Source organism: Homo sapiens, chromosome 11, assembly GCF_000001405.40.
Source record: "Homo sapiens chromosome 11, GRCh38.p14 Primary Assembly".
Taxonomy (NCBI): domain Eukaryota; kingdom Metazoa; phylum Chordata; class Mammalia; order Primates; family Hominidae; genus Homo; species Homo sapiens.
In genome coordinates, this window is record NC_000011.10 from 8,723,165 (window position 1) to 8,739,223 (window position 16,059).

The 16,059-nt window shown below is 49.2% G+C and overlaps 1 protein-coding gene across 24 annotated transcripts in view; it reads right to left on the minus strand.

Moving 5' to 3' along the window:
- Positions 1-16,059, minus strand: part of DENND2B (DENN domain containing 2B) — a 217,600-nt gene that overhangs the window by 29,813 nt on the left and 171,728 nt on the right. For 13 of the 24 annotated variants that reach the window (NR_164822.1, NR_164814.1, NR_164818.1 and 10 more), the window contains 2 exons: positions 6,786-8,045; positions 2,909-3,045 (listed from right to left, as the gene is read on the minus strand). The exons of 1 other annotated variant lie outside the window; for it this stretch is intronic. Coding sequence is in view for 13 of the 23 variants with exons in the window: in NM_005418.4 (NP_005409.3) it covers positions 2,909-3,045; positions 6,786-8,045 (1,397 nt within the window). In the remaining 10 variants the exon portion in view is untranslated. The remainder of the gene's footprint in view (positions 1-2,908; positions 3,046-6,785; positions 8,046-16,059) is intronic. 10 more of the 24 variants (NR_164816.1, NR_164815.1, NR_164817.1 and 7 more) reach the window with 2 other exon arrangements.

Genomic DNA, 16,059 nt, shown 5'->3' on the forward strand with positions numbered 1-16,059 from the left:
GCACCCAGTGTGGCTGCTGCCGTGGGCAGAGAGGGCTGTGTTTTTCTGATGTCCCTTGACTATGCTGGGTGCTGGCAATCCTGTGGTCCTCCCATTCTCTATTATCTGACAAGGATTTCCTGTGGGGATACGTTCTTGGATCATCTGAACTGAAATAATTTGAGAAAGGGACGGCTTCAACCATTTCTCTCTGTCCAGAGTTCCACCATCCAGGGCTCTGTTCAGGATTTTTTGGGGCAATGTTTGGGGGGCAGAATTTTGGAAGAACTGTTCTGGGCAACACAGCTGTTCCCCAGGCCTTCTTAGGTCAGGTTTGAGAGAAGGGAAAGAGGAGGGCAAGTGTGTCTAGGCCTCTGCCTACTCACTCATTCGGGAGGACTTTCTTCCACTCTGGGATGTTAGTCTTGCATAAGGAGGTGAGAAATACAGGAACAGCACTGGCTGCCTCTTGGGTGGCTGAGTAGAACTGGGGTATGGGCTGCAGTTGGGGCATCTTCCTTAACTGCCCACCTGGCTTCTGGATCTTTTGTTCTGATGCCCCTAGCTCTTGACCTCTGCTCTGGGTGGCCTATAGGTACAAAGCTGTCTTTTCCCCAGTGGTAAGGGAAAGGGCCTCCCTCCCCAAACTCTTTTGCGGTTCTAGGGACCTCATTCCCACAGTCTTCCTGCTGTGACCCAGTTTTGCATGGCTACATACTATACGCTCTGTTCCTGGGAAAGCAGTGTCCCTGCACATCCCAGCATGGCTGCTGTCTCCCCAGAAACAATGGCCCAGCAAGTGGTAAGGAAACGGCTGTGAAACCAATGGCTCAGATCAAATGAGGGAACAGATGGCCCTCTCTTCATAAGATTCCAGGCTTCTGGCTCACGCCTATAATCCCAGAACTTTGGGAGACCGAGGCAGGCGGATCATGAAGCCAGGAGATCGAGACCATCCTGGCTAACACGGTGAAACCCTGTCTCTACTAAAAATACAAAAAAATTAGCCAGGTGTGGTGGCGGGCACCTGTAGTCCCAGCTGCTGGGAAGGCTGAGGCAGAAGAATGGCATGAACCCGGGATGCGGAGCTTGCAGTGAGCCGAGATCGCACCACTGCACTCCAGCCTGGGTGACAGAGCGAGACTCCGTCTCAAAAAAAAAAAAAAGATTCCAGGCTTCTGATAATCTGGAGGTTTCCCTCTACCCTGGGCCACTTCTCTCTCTCATGTATTAACTAACACCACATTCTTCAGATTCAAGGCCCAAGACAGAGGCAAGACAGGGACATAGAGAGGGAGCCAGCAAGCAGGCAGCACACAGCCTCTCTCCTCCTCACTGACCTACACTGACACGCACACTTCACTTGGGCAGAATCAAAGCCCCTTACTGATGAGGATGCTAATAGAATTGAAATGAACGCCAAAAAACAAAACAAATGCAACCCAGGCTAGAGCATTCTATCTTTCATCTGATCTGTGAACACAAGTTTGCCAATACCATGTCTTCCCACCTGTTGGAAGACAAATCCCAATGGAGTCTCGCATTTCTGCCCTTCTTCTGAACAAGAGGAACTGACAGTTCCAGACTGTATTTTAAAGGGTATTTATACAGCAAACAGCCTTGGAAGACAGAGATAGTGTCTCCCTTCAGGGCAGAGGCAGATTTGTTTCCTGACCAGAGTGATAAAGATAATGTCTCCTCCAAGGACAAAGGTTAGGCAGGTTTGCCAGCAGTCTCTGAAAAGACTGGGGTTTCCTACGCTTGGGCTCCCCAGCTGGGACATGGACCTGCAGTGTGTGCAGCTTCCACCTGGGCCTTCTCCACACCGCCCCATGGGACTTAGGCACAAGGGGAAACCCGTGTGAACACGAAGCTCATGCTGCCTACTGTGCCATAAGTAATAAAGTCCTTTGCGACCCAGGGGTCTCGTGTCTTCTGCCAGCACCATGAAACTGGGGCAATGAAATGTGTTAGCTTGTACAATAGACTGAATGTTTCTGTCCCCCAAAATTCCTATGTGGAAACACAGGTGAGGCCTCTGGGAGGTGATTAGGTCATGAGTGCAGGGCCTTCACCAATTAGGGCCCTTTTAAAAGAGACCCCAGAGAACTCCCTCCGCCCCTTCCACCATGTAAGAACACAGAAAGAAGATGGCCATCTCTGACCAGGTAGCAGGCCTGCACCAGACACTCAATCTTATTTAATTCTAACAATAACCTTATGAAATATTACTTTTTTTTTTTTTTTTGAGACGGAGTTTCACTCATGTTGCCCAGGCAGGAGTGCAATGGCACGATCTCAGCTCACTGCAACCTCTGCCTCCCGGGTTCAAGCAATTCTCCTGCCTCAGCCTCCCTAGTAGCTGGGATTACAGGTGCCTGCCACCATGCTCAGCTAATTTTTTGTATTTTTAGTAGAGATGGAGGCTGGTCTCGAACTCCTGACCTTAGGTGATCCACCAGCCTCGGCCTCCCAAAGTGCTGGAATTACAGGCACGAGCCACCATGCCCGGCTCGAAATATTATTACTATTATTGTTGTTGTTAATATAGTCACATCATCATGTTATAAGAGAAAAACAGAGTCTTCACAAAAGTTAAGTGATTTGCCTTAAGGGCACACAGCTAAGGAAGAGGGCCTGTTGGACTTCAAAGCCTTCCAAAAATAAAGGAAAGGAATGATGTTGTTTTCTCCTTCTCGTGTCCCCAAAGGTCCTTTGGATTTCAGTTCATTCAAGAGCCAGGCTTTTAATCACAAAGCCACTCTGTCTAAGCTAAGGTGCTTCCCCTGATGTCCCATTCCAGGAGGAGTTCCAGAAGGTGGGACCATGCCTGCCCACAGTGAAGGAGGTCAATCTAGGTGTCTCCTCCTGTTCCTGTTCTTCTGCAGCCCCCTGAGATGACCCAGGTGCCACCTCTGCCATTGCTTACCCACAATATCTTCATAGGCATTTTCTTCTAAAGTGCTTTTGGATCCAAACTTGGGTTGGTTCTCAGTACCATTCTCAGTGGGAGAAGAGGGGTACAGGGACTGGAGACTGGATGCATCCTCAAACTCAAAGGATTTTCTGTGGATAACAAGAGCAAGAGTCATTCCTGCTGAATCAGATCTCTGCTGCCTTGCTGGGGAATGTCCATGGCAACAGCAAAGACCATAGGCCCTCCTTACAAAGGCAGCTTCTGAAAGAGCATCAAGGTGGGTCCAAACTTACCATCCAAATGAAGAGACAGATGGTCTGAAAGGCCCCAGCCTGGGTGCCTGCAATGTGCCTTATCCTGAATAATACCGCTATTAGATAACAACTACCCCAGCTTAAAAGCATGCTGTTCCAGGTGCTGCGTCAAATCCACCTTTACATGTGTTATCTCATTAATCTTCACAACAGTGCCACCAGTATTGGGACATCTTGTGAAAGAGGAGATGGAAGTGACAGAGGCATGATTCTCCCAGGCGACGTCTCACTCCAGGGCCTGAGCTCTTAACTATAATTTTGGCCTTGAGCCCTAGAGAATATCCTCCTTGAGAAGTGTCTGTGATTCCACTGGAATTGAGTGCCTGGTCTGCCTCTGGAGTCTCACATCCTCATCTGCATCCTAGCTGGGGACTCCTGCCACTGCACTAAGCAGGTAGGAAGGCTCAACACTGGGAGGGTCCCACTCAGGGCTGTCAGGGGGTTGGAAAAGCAGTTGTTGCTGGGTGGTTTGTTGAAGCAGGAAGGGCTGAGCCCTTAAAACAAATAAGACCACTGCCAAGGTGGAGCTGGGAGGACAATTTGCAGCCAGAAGCTGCTTCCAAGACCAGGCTTCCCTTCAGCTAGCTTGCTCCTTTCCATCCTTTGGACAACCTTCCTCTCTACTGTATAATTTCAAGACCACAGCTTGTTGTCTCCTAAGACACCCTGAGCCTACAGCACTCTCTGCCCCTCTCCTTCATGAGAGAGGTACGTCCCTCATCTGAGACCCCAACTGTACCCTCTCCCTCTCCAAGGCAAGTCCCCGCAGGCTCCTGGGGAGGGAAAGAAGGAAAGGCACTGACTGGATCCCTCCTCCCACCCATGAACACCTCCCTCTTCTTTGGGGCACCATCAGACCTTTCAGCCAATAAAGCCCTTTTTCTCTTGTTTACTAACAGCTTCTCCTGAGAGTCCTAGGGTGTAGGTAAAGGGCTAAAAGTGTCCTGAAGGCTACAGCTTGTTCTTAGCTTGCCTGCCCCTGCCCCGCCCCAAGCACTCAACACAACCGAACACTCTTTATATTGACATCTCCTCCGTGTGCCTCTGTGACACATTCCCTCCTGGCTTTCAACTAACTCTCTGGCCACTACTTTTCAGACTCTTGTGAGGGGTTCTCCTTTTCCATTTGCCTTTTAAGTGTCCGGGTCTCTCAGAGTTCTGTCTTAAAAACTCTTTCTCACTCTGCACTTTCTAGGGACCAAATATCCATGGGCCATTGCCATATCTACCATCTCTATCTTGATGACTCCCAGATTTCTGTCTTTGGCCCAGAGATTCTCAACTAGTTAAACATCCAATGGCTGAGCACAGTGGTTCGCAAATGTTGGCCCAGGACCAGAGTTAGTGTGAGAGCAAGTTTTCTTTGGCATATACAGTAGACTCAGCATCGTATGCAGGTAGCCCTCAAGTCAGTAAATAAGACACAAATCATGTTCAGTCAAATTATCCTTGAAAATCCCCCAGGAAGGTGTCACACTGAGGACCAACATGCTGTCTCTCATTAAAACTAATAGTTTCTCCCCAGGTTTTTTTTTTTTTTTTTGGCTGAATGCCAGAAGAAACATTTGGCTTGGCTTGCATTTTACACAAACACACACACACACACACACACACACACACACACACACACACACGCAAATTTTTTTGAGAGACAAGGTCTTGTGCTGTTGCCCAGGCTAGAGTGCAGTGGTGTGATCATACTCGCTGTACCCTCAACCTCCTGGGCTCAAGCTATCCTCCCTCCTCAGCCTCCCAAGTAGCTGAGACTGCAGGCACATGCCAACACTCCAGCTAATTTTTTAAATTTTTTGTAGAGATGAGGTCTCATTATGTTGCCCAGGCTGTCTCGAACTCCTGGTCTTAAATGATCCTCCCACTTTAGCCTCCCAAAGTGCTGGAATTACAGGTGTAAGCCACCTCACCTGGACTGCATTTTTTTTAAAATAAAAAAGTATATTAAATATAAGAATCACACTTGGTATAACAGACACAAACTTACCATCTCTACTCCTCATGGAACATGTTCACTGTGTGAAATGGCATACAGAACAGACTGCACTTCTGGAACTGTTTCTCTTTTTCCAAGAGCACAGATTTAAGTTTGCTAAGTTAATTCTTACATGAAGGGACTCCTCCATATATGGTATACGTGTGTATATATTATATATAAATGCAGTGTGGGGTGGAATATGTGTAAAACCTTCAGGCTGATGAACTCTCCCCCCCACTCCCTTTGGTCACCTAGCCAACTGCTTTTGGCTCTTCTAAATTTAGCTCAGCAACTCCCTCTATGAGGAGCCTCCCTTCTCTCCCCCATCTAACTCAGATGCCCCTTCTCTGGGTCTCTGCGGCCTCCTGCACTGCCATGAGTCATGGCACGTATGACATTATCTATGATTTATCTGTGCACCAGACCACGAAGTCCTTGAATGGAAGAACCATGTCCTATTTGCCTCTGCATCCTCTTGACCAGCACAATCTTGGTGCACAGCAGGCTCTAGAAGAATGTTTATAGAAATGGATGAACAAGGACAAAGCAAACACTCTTGGCAGGCCGTTTAAGAATTAAAGAGCCAGTGAGCATTCTGGGGTGGACTCAAACACGGGATTACCCTTAGCCACGGGCTGTTCCGGCTCGGGGGTCTGAATCTTTGAAATTTCTTCCTTTCTGCACATGGCAGGAAAGTTTATATATGAGATGGGATATGTTAGATGAAGCCTGAAGTGTGGGGACAAACTAAAGAATCCCCAGAAGTGAAACAAACCTGAATACCCATCAGTCGTGGGGTTAGATGAGAATGGCAGTAAGGTGTAGGAGGATAAGTATTCCCAAGGAAGCTCACTCCCAGCCTACCCTGATTCAGAGAACAAGACGCCTGCCAGCTTTCACCAATTCCAATAGCTCCAGCTCCAAGTTACCGGGGAGACAGCCCTTGGTAATCTGGGGTTAGAAATCCTGAGACTGACCAGGAAACCAACGTGAGCCTCGGAACAGGCTCATTCCTGTTTTACTCCTTTTTTCATCAATCTTCCCAATAATCCCCTCTTGATATAGGCCCAGGGTTCGTATATGGCCAGGAGGCCTTCAGGAGAGAAGGAATTGTGTTAAATTTGCCGACACTACCATGTTAATGATAAAATGCAGTATTCAGATAATGCTTCATTCAAAGAAATTAATTTCTAATGCTGGTACTTCAGGTGGTAGGGAGGCTAAGATCCTACTACTCCGCAAAGGACTGCCTGCTTTACCTACTCCCAACAGAAGACTGAGGAAGCTACAACAGGGGCAGGACACAGCCCAGCTCTACCCCAAAGGCCAAACCCAGCCAATACCTTCAGTGACCAGCACTCAGGTCCCAAGTATCCTGTAAGCATTCCCACTCATGTCCAAGTATCTTGTAAGAGCAGAACAATCTCATTTTTCACTACCACAACTACCACCTAACAATTATTCAGCACTTCAGAGCTTACGAAGCACTAATGACTGCGACCCATCCTACAATCTGTGTTTGCACTGTCCATTTAAAAGAAAGCCACGGTATTCAGCTACAACACACCGGAGGGGCATGCATTACCTGCTCTGGGACTTGCGGTGACCACGCATGTCCTTCTTGGGTCTCCGGGTGACTGGCGGGGCTGGGGTGGAGGGCAAGGGAGGTGGAGCAGCAGGTGTGGGTGAAGGAGGTAGACCATTACTGGGCTTACTCTTGGGGTTCTTGTCAGCCTCGTATTCAAAGGTGCGCTTGGGTTTGGGGACAGGGTTCACAGCGGGATCGAGGGAACTCTTCGATGGCAGCCGCTGGGAGCTAGGGCTATTTCCAGGGGTCCCGGGCTTAGTGGAACCACTGCCTTCCCTCTCTGGGGGTGGGCCCGCCTCCCCCGCAACACCAGCCACTCCGACTGCCCGGCTGCCAGCGCTCACACTCGCGCCCCCTGCCGGCTCCTCCAAGGAGCCCAAGGTTCCAGTCTTCCTTTTCCCCCGGTCCACGCTGTAGCAGCTGCTGGGGAGCTGGGGGAGCCCCCGGCCCGGCTGCTCCTTCAGGACCTGTTCAATTTTCTGGATCCGGCTCAGCACTGCTGAGCTCTCCTTCCTGCTGCCATGCCCCCTGAGGAAGGCGCTGGGCTCACTCCGGCCCAGCCGTTTCTCCAGCCGGTAGAAAGAGTCCCGGACAGGGAGCGCCTCTCCCTCCTCCTCAGTCTCTGGGTAGGAACACTCGGAGAAGGTCCTGCTCATCCTCCGGAGGCCCTTGAAATCAAAGGTCTTTTCAGAGCTGCAGGGGGACGGCACCACGCTGGGACAGCCCAGGCTGGGGCAGCCCTCACTGGCCGCCCACTCGCTCCCAGAGCCCTCCCGCTTCTCTCCACACATGCTCATCCTGGGCGACGCCTCTCGGCGACCTTCCCATGCTGATATCTTCTCCCGGATGCCCAGGCTGTGGGCGCGGGTACCGGTACGGGTCAGCAAGACGCCCCGGGGGCCAGCTGCTGGCCCCGGGAATGGCGTGCTCTGGGCAAGGGGGAGGCAGGCAGCGACCCCTGCTACATCCTGGGCTGCGCCTTGGACACTTTCCTTTTGGGCGTCTCTCTTGCACGCCGAAGGGCTTCTGTCCAAATAACCGAAGCTGGCGGTCTTGAAGGGACAGGTGGGTGGGGAAGTATCTGGGGAGGGATCTTGAGGATTCTGGGGTGAAGGAGCTGGGGGGTGCCGGTCCTTGAGGAGCACCCGGGAGCTGGAGTGGCTGGGGTACCTGCAGGCTGAGGTTTCACTATCACTGAGCGGGTAGATGGGACTCCTTGGTGGGGAGAGAACTGGAGGTGGAGAGACTGACTGAGACCTGGGGGCAAAACAAAACAAAGGAAAAGAAAAGAAAATGGCAGTGAGTGGCTGACCAACCAGTGGCATCCTGTTTTATTCTTACAGAACTCAGCATCTTTTTCCTGGAGGACTCTCAAAGAGTATTCTATTCAAGTAATATACCTTGAAGGCTGTCTTCAAGGAGAGCAATAGCTCCTTAATCACAGCAGGCCAAACTCAACAGGCCTCTCTGCCCAAACCATCCCCAGGCACCCTGAGTAATGTCTGAAACAGACACCTGTTCTGTGCCAAGCGAGAGCATCCCAAGAGTCTAACATCTGCCAGTAAGAGGACAGAAAGCCCAGTGGTGTGCTGCCACATGCTTAACAACCAGTTCTCAGAAGGTGTGGTGGCTCATGCCTGTAATCCCAGCACTTAGAGAGGCAGAGGCAAGAGGATCGCTTGAGCCCAGCAGTTCAAGACCAGCCTGGGCAACATAGTGAGACTCTGTGTATGGTAAAAAGAGGGAAAAAGGGACCAAAAACCCCAAAACCAAACAAGTCTGAACAACCGGCTCTCTAGGGGCAACAGCAGATTGGTAGCACTTGCCAACTTTGGTAGTATAAATATTCCAACTATGGCTGAGCTACCAATGTGACGTCACTGGCTGTGGAGTTGAGAAGAGATGCCACTAATCAGCTCTTGTGAACTGGTGCAAGGTGGTTCTTGAACACTACTCCCTGAAGTGGCCCCCAAATACACTCAGACCCTTTGATCTTTCCCTTTAACAAGCCTCTGTCTCCCCTGGGACTTCTGCTACTAGACATAACATCTCACTTCTTCATGTTGGGTTCTGACCAGAATTAGAATCCCTGAGGGCCTCAGACAGGTCAGAAGCGCCCCTCAGGAAAGAGTCTTTTCCACTCTATCATTGAGGAAGCCAATGGGGTGGGGAGGCCAACTCCTTAGGCAGCTCCACCCTCCAGCAGTGGCATCACATCCAATAATTGGCATCTACCATGTCCCAGCTCCAAATCCATATGCAGATCTTGGCAACTACAAGGAACACTTCTGAATAAATGTTTTTACATATGTTAACTCATTTAATCTTCCTGAAAAGTCTATGAGGTTATCATGTTTATTATCTTCATTTTACAAATAAAAAACACTAAGGCACAGAAAGGTTTAATATCTCATCCGAGGTCACTCAGCTGGTAAGTGAAACCAGGACGTGAACTTCCACTACACTGGGCTGACTCTCTGAAGAGGAAGCAGTGCCTCTGCCACTTTCTGAACTGCCAGGGCCCTGAGGCAACTCAAGAGAAATCCCCACAGCACTCAGCACACCCCTGCCACAGCACTTGTAAGTATCAAGGGACTTCTTGGTCTTCCCTACTAGACCATGGTTTCTTCTAGGCCCAGGGACAAACAAATAGTGTCTGGAAGGTGCTCGGTGAATGATGAAGAGCAAAAGGAAGGGAAAGGTGAGCTTATTGAAGAGCACCATGAGCATACTTCCTCTTGGGCACACTTTTCTACTTGTCTACTAGAGTAACCACTGTCAACTTTCAGAATTCTTTCCAAACAGTTTCAGTTCAAAAACAGCAGGATTTGCCAACACTGCACAGCACAAGGCCTACCTGACCCTAAGGCCGTGGCCCTCAGCTCTGGGCTGCCCAGCCTCTCAGGCTCCGGAATGCCATGCTATCCACAGGAAGGCAGCCAGCTGCCCCTGAGCCAGGCTGCTGTCACTGCTCGCTCACACACAGAAAACTGGAGTTTGGGTGAGTCAGGGATTGGCTGACAATTCCCTGCTGGGTCACAGGCCTCTGGCTGCCCCCAATCAACAGGAAACCTCAACATGCTTAAGTTGTTTTTCAAAGGGCAAGTCAAACAAGAGCCATCCCATGTGTATATGGGCACAGATGAGAGAAATTCAGTGCCAAGCCAAGCCAATGACCAAAGAGGCTCTGCTCAGTGAGGAGGTGTGAACAGAGTAAGCCTCCGCACTCCCTGGGGTAGGGAGCGGCAGGGCAAGTCGCCAGGCTTGAGGCGGGGGGAGATCCCAACTTCCTCACAGTTCATGGAGGCCTTAGGTCTCTCTTATTTTATAGAACCATAAATACAAAAGGTCATCAGTCTAGCCCCTAAGTGAATGAGTGTCTGTGCTACACAAAGGACTCTGTTTTAGTTCTCAACTGAAGATGCATTTGACAGAGGACAATTTCATTTGTTTATTCATTCGACAAATACTTAGTGAGCACCTACTCTGTGCTAGGCCTGTTCTAGGTGCTAGATACAAGAATAAACAACACAGACATAAATTCATGTCCTCGTGAAGCTTATATTCTACTGGGAGATGGCAGGCACCTAATGAGACTCACAATCTCTTGGGAAGCCTTTTTAAACTATACATGCCTCACCTGCTCAGGCACTTTGATATGTGGTTCCCTAGGGCTGTGTCTCCCCAGCGGCCCAGGAGAGAATTCACCAGTCCATGGAACCACTGTTACTTATGGTAGTGTGGGGCATGGCTCCTTGGGATAGGAAAATGATTCAGGTCCTCTGGTCCATCTGATCCCAGCATGCTTTCAGAAAGAGTGATTCTATAACTTCCCTTAGTGGCTCCAGCACGAATAAATCCTCACAGGTTAAGAACTTTCTCTCAATGCCTACCCTGCTTCAACTGAGGTTTCATTTCTCCCCTCTCATGCAGCATAAAATAGAGAGTAGACTGGCCCTTTCCTCTGAAGGTCCTGTCTTTGGTGTCACTGCTGACCTGGGACCCACGGCTTCACGTGCTACCCTTGCCCCAGCCTCCCCACACAGGCCAGGCCCAGTGCACTGTACCACAGAGGAACCTGCCTGTGCTGACCTGAAGCCCCATATCACAGAGAAGGCACCAGTCACTCATTCCAAGGTCTGGTAAACAATAAAGATAAGGCCCTGCCCTCCTGGGGTGACATTCTCACTTGAGGGTAGAATTCTCTGTTATCTGTCTGCATGTTTCTGATTCTACCTCTTATTAGCAATGGACTCACACTCTGAACATCCAGTTTCATTTCTTCAAAACTGTTCCATTTTACATCGCAGGGTTGTCATATTGAGCCAATGAGACCATGGATGCAAAATGCTCATTATCATTAGTACTGTTTTTTTTTTTTATCAGGTTATGGCTAGCCAGTCAGTCTCAAGAGAGGGTAAGAACATCACAGCCTTGGGGTTCAAGTTTCAGTGTAGCCACTTATAAGCTTCATGACTTTGAGCAAGTAATCTTCTCTCCCTAAGCCTCAGTTTCCTTAACTCTAAAATGGGTGTTGGAAGATCACGTATCTCGGCCAGGTGCAGTGGCTCACGCCTGTAATCCCGGCACTTTGGGAGGCTGAGACAGATGGATGACCTGAGGTCAGGAGTTCAAGACCAGCCTGGCCAACATGGCGAAACCCAGTCTCTACTAAAAATAACAAAAATTAGCTGGGCGTGGTGGCAGGCAACTGTAATTGCAGTGACTCGGGAGGCTGAGGCAGGAGAATCACTTGAACCCAGGAGGCGGAGGTTGCAGTGAGCCGAGATCACGCCATTGCACTCCGGCCTGGGCAGCAAGAGTGAAAACAAGAGTCTCAAAAAAAAAAAAAAAAAAAAGAAAGATCACATATCTCAGAGAATCCCTGTGAGAAATAGTACCTGTCGCGCATTGAGCTTGGGGCCTAACACACAGTGTTCCATCTTAGCTTGATAATTACTCATATTCACAAGGGGCTGGCTCTTCAGAGTAATCACCTGGGAAATTTGGTCAGTTTGCCACTGTCAATGGATCCTGAACGCTGTCGGGGCAGGGGGGCGGGAGGGCGGGGAGTAAATCAAATATGACCATGAATTCTCAGCAGCTCAGGCTATGGAAAGGTGGAGTCTATTGCTCCGTCACTCGAATCTTGGTTGATCTCGGTGATTTGCTTTGAGTATAATACAATGTGGCAGTGGAAATTGAAATTGTTCAAATTCTAAACTTGAGGCCTCAAGAGGCCTTGTAGTTTCTCCCTTTACCCACCTGGAATGCTGCCCTGACACCGTCACATAAGGAAGCCAGTCTAGTCTTTTAGAGGACGAGAGGTCCCATGGAATGTGACCGAGGCACCTCTGTCAATAGCCAGCCTACAACTGCCTGACTCATGAATGAGGCCACCTTGGACCCAGACCCAGCCGGACACAGCTACATGAGTGCGCCCAGGGGAAACCAGCAGAGAACCACCAGAAAACCCACAGAAATGTGAGAAACAATCAACTGTGTTAAGCCACTAAGTTTTGGGGTGATTTGCTCCACGGCAGCAGTAAAAAGATGCAGGTGGGAAAGGCCACGCCTGCGTATCATTGGCCCATCCCATCCCAATGCAGAGCCACTGCCCTGGCCTTCCTTCCCCACTTCCCCACAGGCCAGCTTAGCTTCCATGATGTCTGGATTGGATCTCTCTCTCACTACTACAGGCTCTGATGCTCTTATGGGGGCACCCCCTGGAAGTGGAGCTAGTTCAGCCACCCTAAGAATCAGCTTCCACCAGTCTTTGCTCCCAGGCTGAAGGAGGGTCAGGAGAGTCTCACCTAGAGAGGGAACACTAGGGAGGCTTCAGGAGGGACACAATGGGAGCCAGGTGTCAGGATGTCTAGATCCTCGTGACAAAGAGTTTGCACAGCAGGTGTCATCCCCTGGCATGGATGGGAGAGAGTGCTCATTCCTGGGCTTCAGTTCCTCTCTGTCTAGTTGTTTCCTAGTTCCTCAAACTGAGACTCGGAGGGAAAGTAAGATCATTCTCCCCTGTTGGACAAGAGGAGACCACGGCCAAGAGAAGGGCAGGGCCTGCCTTCGGATGCCACCATGGGAGCAAAGCCACTGACAGTCTCTAGCTTCACTTCTTCATGGTTCCTAGGCCAGCTCCTTGCTAGCCTTCTCTGCATCTGAACGAAGGAAGCCACCTATCACCAAGACCACAGTGTGCAACCCCACCAGGCCGGAGATACATTTTGGCTCTCCATCCATTCAACCAGATATATTGAGCACCAAGTCTATTCCAGGCACTATTTTAGGCTGAGGTGGGAGGACTGCTAGAGCCTGGGAGGTCAAGGCTGCAGCAAGCCACAATCATACCACTGCACTCCAGCCTGGGCAACAGAGTGAGACCAGAGTGAGACCTTGTCTCAAAAGAAAAAAAAAAGGATCAGCAGAGACTAAAAACAGACAAAGTCTCTTTTTCTATAGGTTACATTCTGGTAGACACACATCAAGTTGCCTTATTTGTTTAGAGTGAGCAGGTAACATATCAACTCTGTGAGACGGTTTGGGGGCCAATAAAGAAGAATAAAGAAGGGGAAAGGGATCAGAGATGAGCAGTAGAGATGAGTTGCTGTTTTACATAGGGAGGTCAGGGAAGCCCCTCTTGCCAGGGGACACATGAACACAACCCAAAGGAAGTGAGCAATGTGTCTATCCAGGGGAGGAATGTTCCAGACAGAAAGTGCAGTAGGGCAAAGATAACCGCATGCCTACTGTATTCCAGGGGCAACAAGGAGGCCAGTGTGGCCAGAGTGGAGGGAAACAATGAAGTGTGGGCTGGAGATGAGCCTGAGAGACACCAGAAGCCACATTATGGAAGGCCCCATGGGCCACTGATAAGACTTGGGCTTACACTCTCAAGAGAAGGAAGCTCTTGAGTGGATGTGAGCAGGACAGTGACAGAATCTGACTTCACATCAGAGGATGACAGGCAGGGGTACAAAGGTGGCAACAAGGAGACTATTTAGAATGCCACTGCAGCAATCCAGACAAACGATTATTATGATGACTCGGATCAGAAGGGTACTGGTAGAGACGGATCTACTTTGAGGGCTGGGCCAATGCAATTTGCTGATGGGTTAGATGAGCAGTGAGACACAAACGGGAAGTCTAGGACAGCATCAGGATATTTGGCCTGAGCACTGGTAGAATAGAGTCTGGGTTATAAATTTCAATATGGGAGTCATTAGTGGTATATAGAAATATTTAAAACCATGTGGCCAAATAAGATCCTCTAGAGCGTAAGTGTAGCTAGAGAAGTCCAAGTGCTGGGACGTTCCAGTGTGTTGGGGTCTGGACAAGGAAGAAGAACTAGCCAAGGAGACCGATTGAGAAGAGGATTTAGTGAGAAAAGAAGAAAACATGAAGAGCAATGTCCTGAGACACTTAAGAAACAGGGAGTGATCAACTGAGTCAAACCTGCCAACAACTAAGTAAGAGAAGGACTGAGAAATGATTTGAAACATGGAGGTCACTGTGACCTGACGAAGAGAGGTTTTGGTAGAGAGGTAGGAAGGGAAGCACGACTGGAAAAATTCAAGAAAAGGGAGGAGAAGCAGTGGAGACAGAGTACAGACAACTCTTTTAGAGTTTTCCTAAAAAAGGAACAAAGAAATGGGATGGTAGCTGGAGAAGAATATGGCATAATGGAAGCATCTTTCTCTCTCTTTTTCTTTCTTTCTCTTTCTCTCTCTCTCCTTCCTTCCTCCCTCCCTCCTTTCTTTTCTTTCTTTCATTCTTTCTTCTCTTCCTCTCCTTCCTCTTCTTCCTCTCCTTCCTCTCTCTCACAGGGTCTTGCTCTGTCGCTCAGGCTGGAGTACATAGCTCACTGTAACCCAAAAATCCTGGGCTCAAGCCATCTTCCCACCTTAGCCTCATGAATAGCTGGGACTACAGGTTCATGCCACCAGGTCCAGCTAATTTTTTTTTTTTTTTCACAGATGGGGGTCTCACTATGTTGCCCAGATAGGTCTTGAAGTCCTGGCCTCCAGTGATCCTCCTGCCTTGGCCTCCCAAAGTGCTGGGATTGCAGGCATGAACCACCATGCCAACCTTGTGACTGTAATTGGAATGATCCAGTAGAGAGGGAAAGGTTGTCAGTGCAGATACAGAGGGCACAAATGCAGGAATAACACGCTTGAGTAGGCAACGAAGAGGTGGGGACCCAACGCCCGTCTAAAAGGGCTGGCCTTATACTAGCACCCACTTTCCCATGTGCCTGCACTGGACGTCTGCTCTCACAGTCTCGTCCCTATGCTGCTTTACGCTTCAGTTGATCACTCCCTGTTTCTTGAGCGTCTCAGGACATCACTCTTCATGGTTTTCTTCTTTTCTCACTAAATGCTCTTCTCAGTCGGTTTCCTTGGCTAGTTCTTCTTCCTCGTCCAGACCTCAAAACACTGGAACGTCCCAGCGCTTGGACTTCTCTAGCTACACTTAACGCTCTAGAGAAACTCATTCCAGAGGGGGGAGAAAAGGTCAGAGTTTGTTCCCCTCCTGCTTCAAGCATCTGGATCCAGCCCTCTCCCCAAACACATTGATCTACTTGATGACTATGTCCTATCAATTCTACTTCCTAACATCTCTCAGATGTGTCCCCCTCCTCCCCATCCCTGCTGCTACTGCTACTTCTTTGGTCTCTTAACTCCTCTTTCTGCCTTCAGTGTTAAAGCAGTTTTGATCCATCCTCTCATCTTCTGACATTTTCCCAAAATGAAAAACTGATCATGCTTGAAACTCCTCATATCTACAGAATAAAATGCAAATTCACTGGCATTGTTGATGAGGACCCCATGAGCTGGTCCCTGCCTACTTTCCCCTTCATTATCCCACATTGTTTTCCCTCCTTATCAATCCTGTATCCCACCCTTAGGCACATCCAACTCTTAGCTCTTTCACACCCTACCCCCTTTCAGGTAGAGATGGCCTATGCAGAGGCCTCCACTGGGGAGACATCTGTGATGGCATGTATAACACTGCATTGCACCAGACTGTTTCCTCTCCCTTACTAGACTATGAGTGAGCCCACCTGAAGGTGGTAACAGTATCTTGTTAATCTTGATAGCCCCCTGCAAAGTGCCTAGAACTTAAAAGGAATTATTATTTGTGTTGAATGACTAAATGAATGAAAATGTAAATAGTTAAAAACCTAGGCCTCTTGTATGCCTGCTCACAACATTGTCTGCAGACTTCCTCGCCTTTCTCTTTGTGGTGTATGAGCTGAAGAACA